The 23,502-nt window shown below is 38.0% G+C and overlaps 1 protein-coding gene across 2 annotated transcripts in view; it reads right to left on the minus strand.

Annotated features, from left to right (window-relative positions):
• Positions 1 to 23,076, minus strand: part of ERICH3 (glutamate rich 3) — a 106,221-nt gene extending 83,145 nt beyond the window's left edge. The window contains exon 1 of one of the 2 annotated variants that reach the window (NM_001002912.5): positions 22,230 to 22,525. In NM_001002912.5, coding sequence (NP_001002912.4) covers positions 22,230 to 22,252 — 23 coding nt within the window. In that variant the 5' untranslated portion in view covers positions 22,253 to 22,525. Of the gene's footprint in view, positions 1 to 22,229; positions 22,526 to 23,044 lie in introns of those variants that run through there. The other variant, XM_017000275.2, reaches the window with a different exon arrangement.
• Positions 23,077 to 23,502: the final 426 nt, after the last annotated feature.

Below are 23,502 nucleotides of genomic sequence, written 5' to 3' on the forward strand. Positions count from 1 at the left end.
AAAAGTTTAATTTCATCCTCAAAAGAGACTGAAAAGCAGTTACAAAGCTTAGAAACCAAGGTGCCACATGAGGGTTGCAGACATATGAACAACTGCAAAAGCCATTATTTCCCTAGGTTTATGTAAAAAGACAACCCAAGAGCTTCAGTAAGGCACATAGAAAACCAGCTCCGGATAATGCTTTGAAACCATCTTTTAAATGAACTGCCTTGGTGTCCTATAGTTCATCAAAGGTTTCCTGTCTCCAAAAGGTCAACATTGTATACCTTACCCTTTCTAAATCTCAGAATATCTTTTCAGCTCCTCATTTCAGAAAGGTGAGCAGGTGTCTCTCAGTCCTAACAATCATGATTCCACAGTTCACAGATTCTTAAGATAAATCATTAGAGTGATATCATATATAGTCTTTTGTCTGTTTTTCAGGCTCAAGTTTTTTCTTAAAAAAATCAATAATTTTGGAATAGCTGGGAGTGCTAAAACCCGATTAAATGAAGTGGGGGTCAAAAAGTTGGGATCACATAAACCTCAACTTCCCTATTGACTGATAAATTATCCCCTTCCTTAATTCAGGCTCTGTAACTTCTTTAATATTTAGATCCTAATAACAATTGCTTAGCCAGCTTTGGTAGCACCTGATTTTAATTCTGCTCTCTCGGGCTTCTACTAACAAATGTGTGCACGATGCCTGTCCAGGCTTACAAATCGTCAAGCAGGTCCAGTTGGGTTGAAACCTTTTTACACATCATCTTTTCCTATTTAGGAATAAATGTGGGTTCTTGCTTGGGATACCACTTGTAAGCAACTCCTTCCACAACTATCACCATATGACTAGCTTGGTAGGACAGCTGAATAATAACCGGCTCAGTTATTTCATTTTTAGACAATGCTGGAATTTTTTTAACTGAAACTTTACATTACTAAATTGTTTGATATCAAGAAATTGCTCTAAAGTAAATTATATACAGATTTGGTAAAATGGTCAATTCAAGCATTTCCACTGCATGCATATACATGTGACCATCTTTCTGACCATCAAGACTCCTTTCCAGGGAGATGGTCAAATGCTGCGTGGGCCAGTGTCAGCTACACTGTGGTCTGGCTGATCCTCTCTGTTCTGGTCCTTTTCACCTGTACTTGATATGCGCTTGTAGCCCATTTTCACATTTACCCAGTTACAAGAGCTCACTGACCAACACAAACTCAGGTTAGCAGAGCTTTTCTGAAATTCCACCCTTTTCCTCTGCGTTCAGTGCTACTTACTCCCTTCACTTTTCTTTTCTTTTTTTTTTTTCTTTCTTGCTCATGGCATAACCCTGGGCTGACTAAGGTCACCTTGCTCTGGGCTTGGTGATTGTGTTGCAGCTTGTATGTTACACTCTGCATCCAGTGTCAACACTAGACTTCCTGGTCGTGCTGCTTCAGGCCTGTGATCCTCCACTGCACCCTTTTCATCGATTCCGTTGGTCACAGCAAGCACCAGGGCATTGTGACCATATTACTCGCAGGCTATGTTGTCATGCCAAGACCCACAAGTCACTGGCCAGACCAGTCTAACACGTTTGTTTCTTTATGTGATGAACAAGACTATCTACCCATCCCCTGGTCACTAGGTGGGGGAAAAACCCACTTCCTGGCTCAATGCACTGGGGAAAACAGTCTCCGAGGAAACAGAGCAACCTTGTCTCCATGCTGGTTCCTGTTTCCCTCACTTCAGTGCACACACCACATCCTTCAGGGCCTGAAGTTTAGAGGAGCCAAAGCTGAGTCACCGGGGTGCTACCTTCCCAGCTGCGGCCTTTCAGCACTTAACCCTCTAACCCTGCCTCCCACCATGTAATATATAAATGTGGCTCTGTAGTAAAGTCAGTGATTCATAACAATCCCTTCTCCTGATCCCAAAGAGAGATAGTCTACCATATAAAAATCCCAGCTAAAAGGAAAGGCACTATAATAGTTTTTTTAAATCACAAAAGCTTATTGTTTAATGACTAATTTTAGGTTATTCTGTAAGGCATTAGGGACACAGAGATGGCACAGACACTGCACTCATGGAGCTCCCAATCTAGTGGGGAGATGCACACACTAGATACACACTGTGTGTGCACGTGTGTGTGTGTCTGTGTCTGGGTATGTATGTGAGAGAGAGAGAGAACGAGAGAGAGAGAGAGAGAGGAGAAAGAGAGAGAGAGGAGAAAGAGAGAGAGAGAGTTCTTCCCGTATCATAAGCTAATTAATTACCAAGTATCTCCATGTCAGGCACTGAATCCTGAGCTGGGGAAGGAGTGTAATATCCATATTCCATTTTGCAGATTACAAAGCACTCTCACATACATAGTCTCATCTAGTTGTTTTAGACCCATGTAATATGAACAATATCTAACTATTACAGCTCTTTTATCTTACTAAAGTGGAAAAGCTCCAAAACAAGATTATTGCTTAATGTGAGTCAGTTTTAGGAAAACCTAAGGCAATATTTCTTTATGGATCACATTGATAATGTTATTTCTTCTGGCCTGAAGCACCCTGTAACTCTACCCTCATCTCTCCCTGTACTACCCATCCCCACACTGTCTACATTACCTTTGGGGATGAAAAGAGATAGAGAAATGCCAACTCTAGCTTCAGTTCAATTCTGGCTCCACCATTACTGGCTCCATAACTGTGAACAAGTGACCCTCTGCCTCAATTTTTCTGCCTTTCAAAAACACTAGTATACGAACACAGTTCAGCCAATTCTTTGTCAATTTATTATAAGATTGCCTTTTCTCCCATTTCAAATAACATGTTCCTCATTTCCATTTGAAACCTCATTAAAATGACCTTTACCATCTGTATTTCCACCAATATTCTGTTTATTATTGTTTATGTAGTCTCTAAGAAGATGGAGGTTTTCTCTCGTTTCTGAGTCCTCACAAGAATCACCTTTAAAAATTGCCTCATGGCAATCTAGGCTTTTTCTAGCATGCACCTCAGAGCTCTTCCAGCCTCCACCTATTATTTAGTTCCAAAGCCACTTCCACATTTTTAGATATGTATATCCTACTGTTAGTACCAACAGTATATATGTATATCCTACTGTAGGATATGTGTATATATATATATGTATGTATATATGTATATCCTACAGTAGGATATGTATATCCTACTGTTTCTCTTAGTTTCTTTGGGGCTGCTCTAACAGAATACCATAGCCTAGGTAGCTTAAACAAACACTATTTTTGGAGGCTGGAAGTCTAAGATCAGGGTACCAACATGTTTAGGTTCTTGAAGAAGACCCTCTCCCTTGTTTACAGATGACAGTCTTCTCATCGTGTCCTCATATGGGAGAGAACAGAGAGAGAAGCAAGCTCTCTTGTGTCTCTTCTTATAAGGGCACCAATCCCTCATGATCTGATTACCTCCCAAAGGCCTCATCTCCAAATACTATCACATTGGGGATTAGGGTTTCAACATATGAATTTTGGGGAGACACAGACATGCAGTCCATAATAGAAGATATGATCATCCCCATTTTGTAGATGAGAAAAACAAGCCTTAGTTTAAATCACTTGCCAAAGACCATATAACCTAAGGCTTATTCCTGCTAATATGTAACGAATCATAGTGAAGAGCACTCATCAGGTCTTGCTAATGTGAGGGATACAGTATGCTAAGTATAATGATGGAAAAATGTGAATGGTGAAATATTCACAGAGAAATATAATCCACCCAATTCTCCACTACAGAGATAGAAACCTTTTAAATAAAAATTCTTACAGACTTATATTAACAAATACATAACTTTCCTTCATAATTTTAGCATAAAAGCAATGTGCTGAAGTCTTAAATTCAGCTAATCTCTTAAATATATATTCCTGCATCCTGCTTTGCACTAAAAATTTCCTCAAAAGCATACTTGTTTGAAGAGATATTAAAAATAATTTTGGTTCAACCAGGTTAGTTTTATTTAACCCAAATTGTGACTTATTCCATATAAATTAATAAAGTGTTCATTAGTTTCCCATTGCTGCTATAACAAATTACCACATACTAGTAGCTTAAAACAATACAAATCTATTCTCTTACAGCTCTGGAGGTCAGAAGACAGAAACGACTCAAATTAAGGTGGCATTCCTTCTGCAGGATCTAAAGGAGAATCCAGTTATTTTTCCCTTCAATATTCTGGAGGCTGCCTACATGCCTTGGGTCCTGGGCCCTTTCCATTGCCAAATGCAGCCATGGCTGGTCAACTATTTCTCACAATGATATCTCTCTGGTTCTGGCTCTTCTGCCTCCCTCTTCCCCATTTAGGGACCTTTGTGATTACATGGGGCCCACCCACATTAATCCAGAATAATTTCCTTATTTTAGGTCAGATGATTTACAATATTAATTCCATCTGCAACTTTTATTCCTCCTTTTCATGTAAAGTAACAGATCCACATGCTCTGAAGGCTAGAATATGGACATCTTTGAGGGCCATTCTTCTATGTTCTGCAAGGTCTCTCCCATAAGCCTGATGCCAGGAGCAGAAACATTGGACACTGAATGTGATGGTGATTGGACTGTGTCTTAGCCCATTTAATGCTGCTGTAACAGAATACCACAGAATGGGTAATTTATTAAAAAATAGAAATTTATTTCTCACAATACTGGAGGCTGAGAAGTTCAAGATCAAGATGCCATCATCTGGTGAGGGCCTTCTCCCTTCTCACTGCATCACTGAAAGCTTTCCCAGTTCCTTCACTTTTTTTCTGTATCATGACTAAAAATCAGAATGCCTTCACTGCTTTATGACCCAACCAGCTGTGGGTTTTGCCCAGCAGGCCTGAACCCAAACTGAGGACTTGAACATTCCCAGGCACTGAAAAAGTTATCTGGGTTTCCTAGAAAGAAACTGGCCCGGGCTGTGAACCAAATTTCCTAAAATTTCATATAATCTCCATATACCCAGGCCCCCTCACCATGGACAACCTAGATAGCACATCCCTTTTCTCTCACTGTTCATTGTGAGAATATGCTGCAGCACTCTCCATCTAGGTTGCCTTAATAAATGCTTTGGACTGATGACCTTGGCATTTAGTGTTTCTTTCTTTGGAATCCCAACTGGCCCCATCACAAGATATTTTGAGGCCCTCCCTTGTGGGAATTCCTCTACCATCACTTTTGAAACAACTCCATCACAAAATAGTCATCGCATGGCGGAAGGTGGAAGAGCAAGAAAGCACACCCATTCCCATGAGCCCTTGCCCTCGACTTGAGTTCCAAATCTAATTCTACCCCTTATAAGATACATGACCCTCAATAATTCAATCTTCTTTACCTAGCCATTATCCATCAAGTAAAATGCTAGGACTACTCCCTGAAGTGAACATCTCAGTTTACTGGTCTGGAAATATATTTGCTTAAAGCTTCATCATTTTTGGAATATAGAAATTCACATGTGAAAATACCCACATAGAATCTGGCAAACTCCCTCATTTTACATTCAGGAAGCTGAGGTTCTAAAAGTAGGGAGGGTTCATCAATAAATCAATAAAGAACATGCCAAAATGTCACAGGAGTTCCCATAAAATTGTACCTATCTCTTTCCTAGGGTCCTTGTCTCACCACCTTCCACCAGAATTTCTTTCACCCATGTTTAATCACTGTCTTCAGACTCATGTAAAATTCTCTTCTTGTACACCCTCCTATAAGGTGTTGTATGGAGCTATGCACACAGTAAACTGTCACAAACCCAGCCAGGATTTGTTGAGTAAGTGTACAAATCAGTTAATGGAAACAAAGCATATTGGTCCAATTCCTTGACATATATCCTTTTTTAAAATCCACATGTGAGGATAATCACCTTTCTTTTCTGCTTCTGGACAATAAATAGAAGTAGTCTATGGCAGAAGCATATTTTATGTATTTTGGCTTTTTTAAATGCAGCATTCTCCACATGAGTGATCGTACTAACAATTTTCTTTTTGTTATTTGTTTTTGTTTTTTCTTGTGTTTGAAAAAATGGTGCCTTTGTGGCATGCTACATATTGCATTAGAAAAAAATATAGTTCCCAGGGAGGCAGAAAAGTATATCCTTTTGAAGAAACTTGATGAAAGACAAATATAGAACAACTGACATCAGGGCCAATTATTTTATATTCCTATATAAGAAAACTCTTTGCCAACTACAATTACACCAAGAGTCTCTACAGCCTGTCACTTTATAGGGGGTGATTAAACTGATATCATATAAATGATTTTATATTACATTCTTCATTCTTTTTTATTTGCATCCAAACCTGCCAGATCTCAGTAATTATGCTAAATATTGATTTACAATTTTTCTCAGCTTATTCTAACAATGAAGCCAGATGAGAACCATAATATTATTTTATTTATAGCCTTAATATGATGGTTTGAAGTGACTAGTAAAAACAAGACTGGTCTCCAACTGTGCTGACTGCTGGCAAGACAGTTTTGCAGTGTTCACAGATGAGGCAATGGGGAAGAAGTGAATGGGAGTCAGTAGGCCGGAGACACACTAAGTTTGACCAGTTGCATATGAGACATGGTATATGCTTTCATATACCATGAATTCTTCTCTTTATAATGTTACATCTTTGAACAGAAAAAAATTGTAGCAGCTTGACAAATATGCATTAATAGAAAAATTAAAACTAAGGGAGATAATGAGGCTGTTCAGAGGAAAGGTGACCAGAATGGAAACTTCTGGAAACTAAGAATTTTTATCACTAGCATTTATTGCGTACTTTCTTAAATTTTTGTAGTGCATAGAGTAAACACTCTGTATAATATACACAATCTTGTGAATTAGTATTATCTTCCCTCTTCAAAGATGAGTTAACAGATGTAGAGTGGTTAGATAACTAGTCCATAACTAGTTAAAAGCAGATCCAGGATTCAAACCAGGATTGTTCTGCTTTAACCATAAAACTGAATGTTCTCTATGAGGTATTCCTCCTCCTTCTGCTCTTCCTTTTCCCCTCCACTTCCCAATTCCTTGTCCTCCTTTCCCATCTTAGCTAATTTGAGGAAAGCAATTCTCAAGATTTGTTCAAAACACATGCTGAAATGCAGCTTTGGGTACAAGATGTTTATTAGTGATCAACACCTGTGAAAGGAAAAGAGAGGAAGCAGCATTGAGCAGAGGGAGAAGTCAAATCGTACACAGACCAAACAAACCCTTGGCCAACCTATCAGAGAACTCTGTAGTAAGTAGTGCTTCTCTGTCAATGAACAATCAACAAACACCTAGTAGGTGGGTTCTGCCAGCAATTGTGCATTTGGAAAAAAAAATGCTGCTGTGTAGGCTATATTTTCTAAATATATTATTGAGCATATTATACAAAGAAAAAAAATAAAATTGTACTAAAGAGCTTCATCCAAATGTCTGTCATTTTTTTCCACTAAAGGTTAGGTTAATTTCCTAAGGGCTGGTTCTTTTAAAAAGTCATGCTGTTTCTAACCATTTTTGAGATCATCTTACCAGTGTGTTGTTCACTTACCCCCACCCTCTGAAATACCCAGTTTTAAATCTTCTATTGACACTTGTACTCTATGAGTTCCAACAAGTTGTTTACTCACTATTAAGCTCAATTTCCTCATCTGTAAAAGGGGAAAATAATTGTGCCTTATATCACAGAATTTCTGTTAAGCATTAGTATGATAATGCAAGTAAAGAGCTTAGCGCAGTGCATGACACTCTTAGTTGCTATTGTGTTATTAGCAGTGCTTTCTTCTTAAATGAACCACATATACATTTGCCTGTGCTCTGAAAGGAAAATATAACATGGTTTAGAATCATAGAAGAAGTGCAGTAAGGAGACTTGGGAGCAGGGGGATGATTTAAACAATCAGGAAGAAAATGAAGTCTGAGCCAGTAGAAGAGAACTGAATAAGTGCCTGGCCATTTGAGGGGCAGGCGCGGGAACTTACAAGAGGATTGCTCCAGGAAGAGGGATTACCACATGCAAAGGTCCAGGGATAAGAGAGTACCATGGTGCCTATCTTTACACTGTCCTCCTGCTAGAAGCACCTCCTGCTACTGTCTCCACCCCTGTTGCACAGGCGCATGTGTGTGTGTGTGTGTGTGTGTGCCTGTGCACACACATGCACAGTTCCAAAACCCCCCGTTGGAAAAACAGATGACACCCACTGTCTTTTAAAGGCCAGAGGGTAAAACTGAGAGAAGGGTAGTCAGTCAGCATGCCTGCTGCCAGACACAAAGGAGATTAGAGTACTTATTTTGTGCAATAAACCCAAAGTGCTTATGTGCCTGGCCTCGTACTATCCCAAGGTTACAAAGCTACACAGCTGCATAAGCACAGTCCCTGCCCTGAAGGTACAATCCAACCAATGAAAGAATGGTAGTGAAGTATAGTGTGCTACAATCACAACAGCAACTGTTTATTGTGTGCGGCATGCACAATCTCTGTTAATCTGCAAAACATCCTATGTATCAGATTATTATCCCATTTCACAAATAAGTAAATTATACTCATACAAGAAGGGTATCCAAGAAGAACTGAAATCTGAACTGGGTCCTAAATGACAAGTCAAGTGTTGAGGGAAGAAGTAAAACTTGGGTGGGTAATTGTGGGGACAGAAGTACTATCTGGATTCATTCTAAGAAGCAGGGAAATCATACACAAAGTCCCAGAGAGAGAGATCACAAGTTTCTGTCACCCAAATAGGAATTTGTTGATTATTTATGCTATGGCTTGGCTGTGTCCCCACCCAAATCTCATCTTGAATTGTAATTCCCTTAAACCCCATGTGTCAAGGGAGGGACCCAATGGGAGATAATTTAATCATGGGGTTACCCTCATGCTACTCATGCTATTCTTGTGATAGTGAGTGAATTCTCATGAGATCTGATGGCTTTATAAGGGGCTTCCCCTTTTGCTTGGCACTTCTCCTTCCTGCCACCATGTGAGGAAGGACATGTTTGGTTCCCCTTCCACCATCATTGCAAGTTTCCTGAGACCTTACCAGGAACCTCTTTAAACTTCTTTCCTTTGTAAATTACCCAGTCTAAGGTAGTTCTTTATAGTAGTGTGAGAACAGACTAATACAATTTAACATAAAATTAATATAATAAAAGGGAATTGAGTTTACAGTATTATTAAACTGTAAATTGTTGATAAAGGCAGTTACCATTGTGTGTCAAATATACTTTAGAGGGCTATGTTGGCTTGGAAATCTGATCACTCTTTATTTATATTTGATCTTGGAACACAGTCTTTTATAGATACAAATAGCCTACTTAAACTCTTTAAACTACCATCCATTGATTATAAGAAGGCTCAATATACATGTGTGCACACATTCAGACACACAAGTGTATATATATATATATATATAGTGTGTATATATATACACATGTGTATATATGTGTATATATGTGTATACAAGTGTATATGTGTATATATATAATATATATATTATGTGTGTATATATACATATACACATAAATACTTTTACTCATGTATATATAATTTTCAGTTACTTTCTAGTCTTTGGGTATTTCCACAAATGCTTATGAATGGTACCTAATGGCTGTCAGTGATTTCCACTAGTTTTCTGTGATGCAAGTCATAGGGTCAGCTTATCTGAATCAAACTTGGCAAATTTTTAAAAAACTCTCACATATTCTTTTCAATGTGAATAGTACTATTTTAATGTACGATGGGAAAATGTTCAGAAATGATCCCACAGAGCGAGGTATTATGAGAAAGAAAAAAAGAAGAAGGAAAGGAAAAAGGGAAGAAAAACCAAAACAGAAAAGCCAGACACCAAAGAGAACAAATCAATAAACTTACTATGTGTGTTGAGAAGGAAAATATAATCAACCATGTTAAAAACCTCCTAAGTGCCCTAAAATGTAATTCTTATGAGCAGTAGTAAGATTTAAAATGGTAATGACATCTGGGCAAAGGTTAAAGAGGTTGACTAAATTTTAAATGCTCAGCCATTTAAAAATAATACCCATAAGATTTTCACCAGTCTTTCTACCATTTGTCAATGTCAAAGCAATGATGCAGTTTCATGAGTTTGTCTTGAATTCTCAAATTTGATAAAAAGAGCAAGTGTGCTAGAGAGGTACAAATGTTCTGGGTCATTGCTTCCATTTTTATTCAAATTCTCAGTTGTTCAGAGAATGATTTCCTTAAAGGAGCAACCTCATTTTGAGGGGTCATGAATTGGTAGGTCAATGTTAATTTTCTTTCTAAAGATTCATGAATCTAAGAAGAGGTTGTCCATTTAAAAGAAATTAGTTTAATTGAACAAGAAAGTGATTTATTGACTGGAAACACCTTCTCTATGCTCCCTTCCAATTAGCTTGGGACATGTCTGCTTATTTAGAACTGTATATTTTATTTATTTGGGGTTTATGTCCCTTAAGAATTAAATCCTAAAGACTTAAGCAACATATACTTTACACAAAGATCAAAATAAATACACAATAGGTGCCATTCACTGAGTACCTATTATATGTCGATATTTATTAGCCCCGTATTTTTGAAGGAAGAAAATAAGAAGCAGAAATTAACTCCCCTGAGTTTACATAAAGCATAACTGGAATTTAAAGCTACATCCTTCTGACTCCAAAAATAAATCCTCTTCGGAAATAGCATGTTTATCTCATAGTTTTTTGCACTGGACATTGATTTTTTTCTCTTTGGAATATCAGTCCTTTTAATTTAGAGGAAGAGAAAAAAGTGGGAAAGATGCGTTTCAGACAGTTGGAATTTATTCATTCGTTCTTTGAAGTGTTCCCATTTTTTGCCCACACTCCTGACTACAGTTTCTGAATATCTCTGTCTTTTAATCACCCTGCCTGAGTTCTCCTTCTCCCTGTCACAGCATTCTCAAGTTTGATTTTTGCTCCATGCTCTTGCATGTGGCCCTGAAACATCAGACTTTCCATTAATTTTTCTGAGCCAGTCTCCTCACCAAGGATTGGAATCTCAATATTCGTCTTCACACACTGCAGCCTGAGGCCAGCCTCACTCACTCCCTAAGGTTTTATTCTGGAAGATTCCAGCATGAATTGAAGTTCCATGTCTCCAGCTTGACTGAAAGGAAAGAAGAACTATGGGAAAGAAGATTTTAAAAGTCATAATCTTACATAAATCCCTATGAGTTGTGGTGAAATATTCATTTGTTGCAGTTGCAGAGAGATTCCCAACTATTGACTTCAACAGAAAAAAAAATGTTCAAACTCATTTTTATAAAGGCTTAGGAGATGATCAGAAATAAATCTGAAATTAATTTATGACTTAAAATTGAAGGCAAATATCATTTTGTTAAAAAAAAGGAAAAATCCTAATTTGGTATGTACAGTTAGTGTTCTACTCAAGGTTCCAAAAACTAAGTAAGACACAGTAAGTAGAACTTAAAAACAAAAGTTAATTAGAGGCATTAACTTCTCCTTACAGGCCAGCTTTCACATGGTTTTATAGCATGCTTGCCTGCTTCTAAGAACATGTCACCTAAATAGGTAATGCTGCTGTCTCCTCTCACTTATTTGAAGTCACAATAGACTACTGCAGTGATGACTGAAATTATACCATGTTTTTAAAGAGTGCTTTTTACTATTTAAAAATGTTTCCCAACCAGGCATGGTGGCTCACGCCTGTAATCCCAGCTATTTGGGAGGCTAAGGTGGGATAATTGCTTGAGCTTAGGAGTTTGAGACCAGCCTAGGCAACATGGTGAGATCACATCTCTAAAAAAATTAAAAATGTTTCCAGATATATCATTGTATGTCTTTCCCCTTCTTCAACATTCTTTCCCCAAATTACTCTCTCCAGGATGCCTTCTCCAATTAACCCAACTCTGCATCTAGCTCAGGACTTAGGTATGGAAGTTGTCCTGTAGAAATCTGTGCCTACTTATGTACCATCAATATTATAAGCTACCAGACACCAAGCGAACATATTGACATATACTATGTGTCAGGCCCTGTGCTACATGTACTACAGCATCTAATTTAACCATAACAACAACTACAAAGCAGATATAAATCCCACAAGGATGGGAAAAAACAAGAATCAGAGAAATTACAAAATTTGCTTAGGGTCACACAACAACTATCTGGCAAATATGACAATCTAAAACTCAGCTGAAGTCCAGTAGCAGCCAGTCACTAAAGCTCTGTAGTGGACATGGTTGACTGGCTACTAGAAGCCATTCCCAAACTTGTCTTCCTTGCCTATCTCTCATAGAAGAAGTTAGAAAGTCAAATACACCCTTTCCTACTCTCTCCTATAGCAAGGCATGTCCATTGCTGCAGTTATGGTCCATGAGAAATAAAGGAAAGTCTAATGGAAGGGTTCTAAAAATGGTGTCCTTCCTGATTTTTGTTAAAAAAAAAAAAAAAAAAAGAAGTCTTCTTTTTACCCATCTGTTTCCTTTTGGTTTGGAGTGGTTTGATAAGAATATAATGCCTGAATCTAGGGCAGTCATCTTGCTAACACAGAAAAAAATAAAAAAATGTTGCCCCAAGTCCTGATATTACTAAAAAATATAATCACCTACCTGTAGGACTACTCATAAAATAAATAATAATTTTTATTATTATTTAAGCCACTAGGAGTTTGGCTTTCTGTTACTTTCAGCTGAATGTATTCCTAAGGTCACTAAAGTCAGAGACATATGGTAGGAATTATTGAGCTAAGTTTGGGGCATAGTCCTGGGATACAATGAGAACCCAAAGATGTAGACAGGTATGGTCTCCACCCTATGGAGTTTGCAATTTACATGGGAGATATAAAAACTATTCAAATGCTACAAGGAAAGTATCTGTATGGTACTTGTTGGTATAACTTTAAAGACAAAATAGTCTTAGAAGCAGCTCTTTAAGTAGTATAGCTTTATCAGTATAGTTTTAAAAACAGAATAATCAACTTGAACAATAAATAGGAATATAATAAAAATGGAAACTATAATTATTTATGGATGTAGAAGTTCAAATGATTTTGATTTTCCTCATGGTATTTTTCTGCTCAAAGTAAAAAATTTTCAAAATACAGATAAATACAAAAAGGAAGATTAAAAAAAAAAAAAACTTGTATCCCTAGTACCCAGAAAGTTGAAGTTCCTTCTAACTCTATTATTCTAATTTACAGCAGATTATTTTATTTCAATCTAAACAACAGAAACAATATTATGGCAAATATCTTGGAGCAAGCAATGAAGAGAAACAGCTTCTTTGTATGAGAGCCAAATAATATTCACAAATATAAAATATTACAATCCATGGCATATAGAGAATGCCAAATTAACTGCTACTATAAAACACTATGATTCAATTCAATTTAAAATCCTTAGTTTTTAATGCTGTTTCATAACTACTATGTGCAATTTATATTGTCTGTTTAGTTCCCTGCTGTTTCTTTCCTTGCTTCAATATTTTGCCCTGAGAATTTTCATTAATTTGTAAATGTTTATGACTATTATAGAAAAATAATAACAGTCGCATAAAAATGGATCACCAGCTTAAAATGTTGAATTTTCTGTTCCAACCAGCATCAGGCACTGAGAGGTAGGAAGTAATTAGATTACTAATCAGACTTAACAGTTCAACACTTACCTGTAGAGATCATTGATTTATTATCTTAATTATTTCTCCCCACTAAGTCTTTACTTATATTTTTTGTTAGCTTTGACTTTTATCTCCCTTTTGAACTTTTGGCTTCAAATCTCCATTCTCCATGTTATAGACTTAACGTCTGTATCACCCCAAAATTCATATGTTGAAATCTTAACCCACAATGTTATTGTATTAGGAGATGGGTTCTTTAGGAGTTGATTAGGTGAAGGTAAAAACCCTCATGAATGGAATTAGTGTCTTAAAAAAGAGACCTCAGAAAGCTCTCTCACCCCTTCTGCCATGTGAGGGCCCAGCAAGAAGATGGCCATCTGCAGCCTGGGCGACAGAGCAAGACTCCGTCTCAAAAAAAAAAACAGCCATCTGTGAACCAGAGAGCAGGCCCTCACCAGACCCTGCAAATGTCTCTTGGGCTCCCCAACCTCCAGAGCCGTGAGAAATAAAATTCTGTTGTTTCTAAGCCACCCAGTCTATGGTATTCTATTTTAACAGACCAAATTGACTAAGACCCCCATGACCCCCATATGTTATCAATCAATCAATCATTTATTTTAAATGATTCTGCATTTCTCATAAAAACCACTTTCAGCCTTTGCAGAGCCAAGTAATGAAGAGCATCAACAGCTACAAACAGGTTGCGTTAGTTTGGTAGGGCTGCGATAACAAGGCATCAGGTAGCTCAAACAACAAAAATTTATTTTCTCATGGTTCTAGAAATCTGACATCAAGGTGTCAGCAGGGTTGGTTTCTTCTGAGGGCCATGAGAGAAGAGTCTGTTTCAGGTCTCTCTTTTTGGTTTGCAGATGGCCATGTTTGTGAGCATGTCTTTGTCCTAATCTCTTCTTATGAAGACACCAGTCACATTGGATTAGGGTCCAGATATTGGCCTGATTTAACCTTAATTACCTCTTTAAAGACCCTGTCTCCAATACAGTCACATTCTGAGGAACTGAGGGTTAGGACTTCAACATATAAATTACAGTGGGAGGGGGAGGCAGACAGAAGGGAGGGTGGCACAATTAAGTCCATGACACAGAAATAACCAGAAAGGTGACCAACCTAAGTATATATCATGGATTTAGACAGAAGAAATAAGGGACATCTTTTCTGAGTACATAAAAACCCAAAATACCATAACTTGATTCTGAATTATCTGTGCTGGCAAACAGAAAAAGATCATTGATGACCATCAAAAAAGGGCATAGATACCTTCTACATCCCAGAACATTCATGTAGATAGCTCAGAAGAAAGAGAAGAGGATAATGAGGATCTCTAAGAAAGTCCCCAGAGCATGGGGAAACCATGCTTTTACTGTCAGAAAAAACTGCACTTCACAGTAACCTGCTCATCGACCAAAAAAGTTAACCATACAAAAGAGACAAGGGGATAAAGACAGCAAGATCGAGTAGACCCATAAGAGAATAAGAAATTATTAAAGAATCCAGATCTATATGAAATCTATATATCTACACTCTTCAATGTTCTTCACTTTTAAAGTATGCTTCTTGTGGCTCACTGTGAAAGCAATGATTTTACAATTGTCAAAAAAATTTTTAATCCTAATACTGAAAGAGTCTCAGTAAGGTATGATTTTTCAAGCTGCACTATTCAACTTGTCACATCTTTTTCTCTTTCCTCCAGAAAAACATTAATCCAAAAAGGCAAGCTCTCAGGTGAATTACTTTAATCCGAGTATATTTCCTGATATGACAATTTGCAGCAATGATGTTGTCAATGAAGGATGTGTTTCTTTACTGGGACTTGTGTAAGAAGAGAGTGATTTTAGAGCTTCTGGCCAGTGAAAGAACCAAATGACTTCTGCTGTGCTGGAACCCAGAGGTATAGTAAATCCTATCTTATGTTTGGGTCGACTTTTTAGTTAGCACAACATGCAAATATACTACCTGGTTAAAAAAAAATCTATCCTTGAAAATCACTTATTTAACCCATGAAGTGCAAAACACATGATTGTGTGTTCAATGTACTATTCAGCAATTTTTGTATGCTGAAGTTTTAGAACCATGGATCTAAGCCAAAGAAATAAACAAAGGAAACATCAAAATGCAGTGCCTACAGATTCAAATAATTCTCCCTTGAGTATGTAGACATTGTACAAGTAGGGCACTGCACAAGTCTTCCTATTCAATATAATCAGGATTAGTAGCTGGTCAGTTAAACAAAAAGTAAAATTAATGAAATAACTGTATATGAATATGTTTACCTTAAATTTTTTTTAATTAAAAGCATAAATATATATCTGTTCACTATTTTTTTGTGATGCCAAGGTCTTTATTTCGTCTATGACTCAGCTGATTTTCCTCTATCTTTTTTTATATGAATCATACACATAATATATCATTTAGGATTTCCAGTTTAGAAAAAGGTGACAAACACACTTACAAACCAATATGAATGTTTAATCTTAGATTTTTTGTTTTCGCAAATTTTATCCTCATCTAATTTGACAGATTTATTTAAACTGACTGACATGTATGGAGTCATTCCATAACATACACTATTCTCAACTATTTGTGTGGGGAAGCGAGTAAGCCATAGCAGGGGAAATTCCAATAATTCAGTCTGCACACCACTTCTCTTGGTCTGTACCAAAATGAATAACTAAAGGTTAGAAGATTATTTCAGTACTACCTTCAATGGCTAAAGTTTTAATTGAAAGTGATAGCTCTAGAAATTAAAAATCTCAAAAATAATTAAACTTTACCTCAGGTTCTGAATATTTGGGGCTGATTTTTAAATTCAGAATTGAATCAGAAGTTTTATTTTCCCATCTCCCTAAAAACCTAGCATGGATTTATTAATAATCAAAATAAGTTAGGCACATCTCCACCTATCCTCCTAGTTAGAGATGCTTTTTCTCAGCAGAGACTGAGAGAAACCCAAAGACTTTCCTGGGGGACCTTGGATAAGGATAGTTGATATCGTTTGGCTCTGTGTCCCCACCCAAATCTCATCTTCAATTTTAATCCCCACATGTTGAGGGAGGGACCTGGTAGGAGGTGATTGGATTATGGAAGCACTTTCCCCCACGCTGTTCTTGTGACAGTGAGGGAATTCTCATGAGATCTGATGGTTTAAAAGTGTGGCACTTCCCTTTCACTTGCTTTCTCTCCTGCTGCGATGTAAGACGTTCCTTGCTTCCCCTTCACCTTCCACCATGATTGTAAGTTTCTTGAGACCTCTCCAGCCATGCAGAACTATAAGTCAATTAAACCTTTTTTCTTTATAAATTACCCAGTGTCAGGAAGTATCTTTATAGCAGTGTAAGAATGGGCCAATAGAATTGTTTTAAGGGAATCAATTTCTATTGCTCAAGTTTGCTTTGTACTCCCTTAAAATTGATCTTCCTGAAAAATGCACTTCCAGTCATGTTGATTTCCACCTACTTTTTTATAATTATCTTTGAATTTTCCAGCAGAAGGACACATCTCTCTTCATCTGGTGGTCTTATTAGGTAGTGCTTTGAGCTTAGAAAAACATCTGAGAAACAGACAATTTGAAGTATTGCACAGGTATTGATACAACAAATGACTTTCATGACTGGGCAACAAATCTAATTGCAAGTCAAACACTGTAGTTTCCAATGCTTAGATTTCAATATAGTTGAAGAAGGACCTAATTGAGCTGTCATTTGAAAGATCATCAAAAACATTTTTTGTGTCTGATCACTATGTGATTTTTGGCTTATAACTCTGAAGGAATTCAAAGAATTAAATGACATTGCCATAACAAACCCCTTTCCATTCCCATCTACTTACATGAACATGTTTGTTAAAGGAGTAAGAGAAGAAAAGACATATACATATATATATTTAAAAGAGCAGAATCTATAACATGAAATGCTTTACAGTGGAAGCCACAACAAATAAGCCTGTGCAATTCAACTCATTTAAGCACAATCAATTTACTCCTTAATTTGTTAATATTTAACAGGAGGGTGAATAGAAACTACCAAAGTTTAATTTAAATATTTAATGACTTAAAGTCTGAAATTCTGTGTGAAAGAGATAATTTTGGTGGTGCAAGTGGGTAACAAACAGACTAGAATGTTACTGTAGCTATCCAAAGTACATCCCAGTTTGCTAACTCGGGAGGCAAGAAACGTATGCTACTTAAGAATGCAATGGACCTTTCTTTAGGAAATAATGTGGTGGGTTTATCATTGCTGTCTCTCCTGGATACACATACTCTGTAAAATTGACAGCTTGACCTAACGGTAGTTTTTAATCTGCCTTCGATGAAAAACGACTGCATTATCAGGGAGTACTAAGGATGTATTAATTCTTTCTTTACCATGCTTCAGTGTACTCTGTCATTACAGAAACACTTCTTTACATTAAAAAGGTATAAACTAATAAGCCTAAACTAACAAAAAATGCTTCTAAACCTTTGAACAGTCTTTCAAAACATATGTCTTCTGCATTTTTTTTCTTGTCATGAGCTATAATGCTTCTCATTCTTCCTTCCTCAAAGAAAATTTACAGATGAGTGCAACTATCTCTATTTACAGCCAAGTGTATCTTTTACACAGAAAGCCAACTTGAGCCAGAAGAGACATATCATTTTATCCTCATGCATGACTGAGGGATATAAAACCACCATTCCACCTCTAGAACTCATGCACAACCCACAAACACACACATAAATAGCAACATGAGTGAGATTTAGCAAACTAGAAGGACAATCAATTGTAATTTTCCACTCTAAAACAATTTCATTCAAGATAGCAATGCTGGAAATGGTATTTTATAGTTGACTTCTACGAAATTATGATGCAGCTCAGATTCAAAATCTCTATTATCTTTGGCAGAAGTTTTAAAAACCATTTTTATTTACTCCTAACTCTATCTGAACAAAGCCGGCACAGGCCCTTTGCAATTTTTACATCAAGTGCTTCATGCTGTAATTAAGTAAGCAATGGAAATCAAAGGAAGCACTAAGAGAAGGAATCAGGACATCATTTATTGATTGGTGGCATTTGAGGGATTTAAAATTTTTGTTTTAGTGTATAACTGCACTTTGTTACCATTTTACCCTTAAAATGTAACAAGTACAAACTGCTTCAGTAATGATAGAAAAGCCTTCTCAGCTTTAATGAAACCTTTTATTTGCTACTGAAACTTTTATTATTTCCAAATGGTAACATAAGCAAGAAAAAGTCACTACTTTTATTTGAGGAAAAACTTTAGCAATTCAAATAATTTTGTTCTTGGGTGAATTTTAAGACATTTAGATTTGTTGTATTTGTGCTTATTGTTTTCATTTACTTTTGATAAATTACAACCAAAAAATGTATACACACACACTATTACGAAATTAGCCTCTAATCATCTATCAAAATACTAGATACTTACATGCAGCCATCCTCTATCAGATGTTGGTCTGATCCAACACAAATTTTTATATATTTAGGCTCCTGCACATCTCAGTTGTTGACCATGTGAGGCAACATAGTGTGATGGTGAAGAGAAATGACTCTGATCCTATATTGTCTGGCTTTGTATTCCAGCCCTTACCCTTCCTAGCAATGCTACCTCTAGAAACTTCTCAGTCCTTGTTGCAGGAAGTCAGGGACCCCGAACAGACAGACTAGGTGGAGCCACAGCAGAGGAACATAAATTGTGACGATTTCATGAACATTTATCAGTTCCCAAATAATACTTTTATAATTTCTTATGCCTGTCTTTACTTTAATCTCTTAATCCTGTTATCTTCGTAAGCTGAGGATGTACATCACGTCAGGACCACTGTGATAATTTTGTTAACTATACAAATTGATGTAAAACATGTGTGTTTGAACAATATGAAATCAGTGCACCTTGAAAAAGAACAGAATAACAGCGATTTTTAGGGAACAAGGGAAGACAACCATAAGGTCTGACTGCCTGTGGGGTTGGGCAAAAAGCCATATTTTTCTTCTTGTAGAGAGCCTACAAATGGACATGCAAGTAGGAGAGAGATTGCTAAATTCTTTTCCTAGCAAGGAATATTAATATTAATACCCTGGGAAAGGAATGCATTCCTGGGAGGAGGTCTATAAACAGCTGCTCTGGGAGTGTCTGTCTTATGCGGTTGAGATAAGGACTGATATAAGCCCTGGTCTCCTGCAGTACCCTCAGGCTTACTAGGGTGGGGGAAAATCTCCGCCCTGGTAAATTTGTGGTCAGACCATTTCTCTGCTCTCAAACCCTGTTTTCTGTTGTTTAAGACGTTTATCAAGACAATATGTGCACCACTGAACATAGACCCTTATCAGTAGTTCTGCTTTTGCCCTTTGCCTTGTGATCTTTGTTGGACCCTTATCATTAGCTCTGTTTTTGTCCTTTACCTTGTGATCTTTGTTGGACCTTTATCAGTAGTTCTGCTTTTGCCCTTTGCCTTGTGATCTTTGTTGGACCCTTATCAGTAGTTCTGCTTTTGCCCTTTGTCCTGTTCCCTCAGAAGCATTTGATCTTTGTTCTGCTTTTTGCCCTTTGAAGCATATGATCTTTGTACCTACTGTCTGTTATTACACCCCCTTCCCTTTTGAAACCCTTAATAAAAAACTTGCTGGTTTGAGACTCAGGTGGGCATCACAGTCCTACCAATATGTGATGTCACCCTGGTGGCCCAGCTGTAAAATTCCTCTCTTTATACTGTCTCTCTTTATTTCTCAGCTGGCCGACACTCATGGAAAATATAAAGAATCTATGTTGAAATATTGGGGGCGGGTTCCCCCAATAAGTCCTCAAATTCCTTATCTGTAAAAATGAGGGTAACTAAAAACCAGCATGAGTGGGAAGATTTAATAAGGTAGTTCATATAAAACACTAGAATGGAGCCTGGCACATCGTATGCACATAATAAATATTTAGTTCTAACACAATTTTCATTTCCGAATACATGCATCTCTAGATTGGATGCACCATCCGGCAATACCATTTATTCAGCACACATTTGTTGAGTTTTATTTTGTTCTGAACACTGTCCTAAGTGAAGGGATCAGAGAAATTAATACAATATGGTGCCTACTTTTCAGGAGCTTACCATTTAAGTGCAAAGTATTTGTTGCCATCTTAACACCTTTCCTGAAGAGTACCATGAAACATACTCTTGCATTAAATCACAAATTTCCCTTTTCCCCATAGGCTTGGAACTAATGGAACTTCAGAAAAATTTGACTTCAGTTTCTGAAATCTTAATCATGCACAGTTTAATCAATAGCTACATTTTTCTCACATTTTAAAATAGATTATTAAATGGTCTAATCAGATTCTAACTAGCCAAAAACTTGAAAAACATAGGAAGACAACCATGACTGACATATTTATTTTCCCAAATGCAAACATACTGCAAACATCAGCTGCTGAAAAATAGTGCTATTTGCATCTTACGTAGCATCTTACATGACCCACAGATAACTAAAAATTGCACAGGAGTTCAGCATCAAAATGTTAAAAAGTACCTAAATTAAATTCAACTTGAGATAAAACAAAAAGTTTATGTAATCATAGCTATATCACTTTTCTAAAAGTTCTGAAACTGATTTCCAACGTGGCACCTTATATGGCTTTAGTTTTTTCAAACATTTTCATTTACGCCATTACACTCAGAGAATTCATTAAAAAGTAAAATCTTGAAGTTTGGGTATAAGTTCCAACACAACGACTAATGTGGTACTTCAAACATCACAAACTCCAAATGATCTCAAATATGTTGTCCTCTGCTAATTTGCTGCTCCTAAAAATGTGCAATAAATGCAATTAAAAAGGAAAGTGCCTTCAATTTAATTGCAAGATTGACTAGGATATTTATCTTCTTACTAGATGTATCATAATAAAAAATCGTCTAATATGCATTACATTGTTTAATTCAGGAGGAAATTGGATATTCTCCCTTCCAATAAAAAAAGAAACTTTTTTTTTTTGCAACAGCCAATAATGACGGTGTTCTTTCTAGAATACATTGAAAATTGCCAAAATAGGTTATCTAAGGGGTTCACCTACCTAAAGCAACTGAAGATCATGAGTAAATACACAGGCACACAACTCCTCCCTCTCTTTTCCTGTGCCATATAACCTTCCTTTATTAAAATACTTTTTAAAGACCCTTATGGTCCTTTTGAGATTGGGCAGAAAAAAATCCCTGAAATAATACCCCCTTTTCCCAATGAAACATCTTTCAATACTGAATGAACTCACACCTCGCTTATATGTAAGCTAAGGTGAGAATGCATCTCTCATTCTCAAATCTCCAAACGAATTCTTATTTTGGTAACCTCTTCTTTTGCATCTAAACACACATGTTCCACACCACAGGATCTTCTTGATCCCAGCGAAGGTCCTTGCTTAATGTATGCGTTTTTCACTTCCATTTTTTAATCCTTCCAGGGTGAAAATTTCAAAAGGGGCGAACGTGGGTGAAAGAAACGAAGAAGGGGAGGGAGGAGACATGATGCCTGGGATTTCTGCCATCCTCGCTGCAACCCAGAATTCGTATATATTTTCCTCTCCCCAGCCCTCCCCCTCGCTCCCCTCTCGCCCCTTCCCTCCGCAGCAGGAGGGAGGAGGAGGGGCAGCTGGCTGAAGCCGCCACCTGCCACAGCGTGGAAAAGCTCCAGTTGTCACTTACCCAGCGGGGTGAGAATGGCTCATTTTTGCAGGATCCCTTTTGGACCCCGCGGCAGGTGCGGAGGGTGGGTGCGTGGGGCCCCGTGCGCGCTGGCGCTGCGACAGTCGCGCTCGAGGGGTGGCTCCGCACCGAGGTCCCCTGTGCGCGGGCACCTGGGCTGGGCCGCCGCCGCCCCTGGGCGCCCGGGCTACCCGCAGCCTCCCGGGCTCCCACCCTCCGTTGGTATCCACAGCTTCCCTGTTGCTAAGGGAGGAGAGAGGCAAGCGCCCAGGGTCTGGAGAAGCGGAGGCGCTACTGGAACCGAGCCTGCGGAAGCTGGAAGTGAAGCCAGCTTCTACCCCTTTTTCTGGGCCCTGATAGGGAGGAGACCCAAGCAAGCCCCTGCTCTGTTGCTCTAGGGCGCGAGTTCCCCAGGTATCTGTAACATGAAAACACAAACACACTCGTGCACACACACAGGCACACCCACACATTTTGGCTGGCGTGCTTCCTGCTAGGCCCTGGGGAAGGAAGGACTGGGTAGCGGCTGAGGGTAATAAGAGCAGGGAGCAGCTACTGCGTGATGCGGTGGTTTCCAGTGCTAAAACAGCGATTGCAAATTTGAGGGAAAGAAGGACGTCTCTCAATCTGTTTTGGGTTTTGAATTTGTTTCTGCATCTGTAAGGCATTACAATCGACTCATTTTCTCCTTGGAAAACCCCTATCCTTCTTCCTAGCTGAGGTCCCCACTTCCAGTGGGCAGGGCTGACAGAGCTGGCTTTCAGAAGATGGGGGAGACGCAGTTATTCAGTAAAGCACCCAGAAACAGTACTTACATTGGAATCCAGTACATGGAATGCAGGGCTTAGATGAAGCAGCCTGGATTTAAAGGAGGATCTGAATGTGGAGGAAGTTTAAGCACTAGACTTAGATAACCTATTCTTGTTTTGTTCATGCTTGGTCAGGTGTTTTGCAGAATGACTTGATCTCTGGCCTCAGGTTCCTCATGTATAAGTGAAGGGTTGGACGCATCAGTGGTGACTGAGCTTTCTAGGGTCTCTATTCTGGGTCAGCCACATTTAGAGGTGGGAAGAGCATCACCTCATTAACGTCATTCTGCTTTTCCTCACGTGGTAAAGACCCACTGAGTATGACAGAGTTCAAACTCCTTAGTGTGACATTCAGGGGCCCTCATCACCTGGCCCCAGTGTCTTTCCCGAGCCTGTGTGACCACTTTCTCCACTACCTTAAACTCTAGCAAAACCAAACTCTTGCGCTATCCCTCTAGTGGAAA

This window comes from Homo sapiens, chromosome 1, assembly GCF_000001405.40.
Source record: "Homo sapiens chromosome 1, GRCh38.p14 Primary Assembly".
NCBI classification, from domain to species: Eukaryota; Metazoa; Chordata; class Mammalia; order Primates; family Hominidae; genus Homo; species Homo sapiens.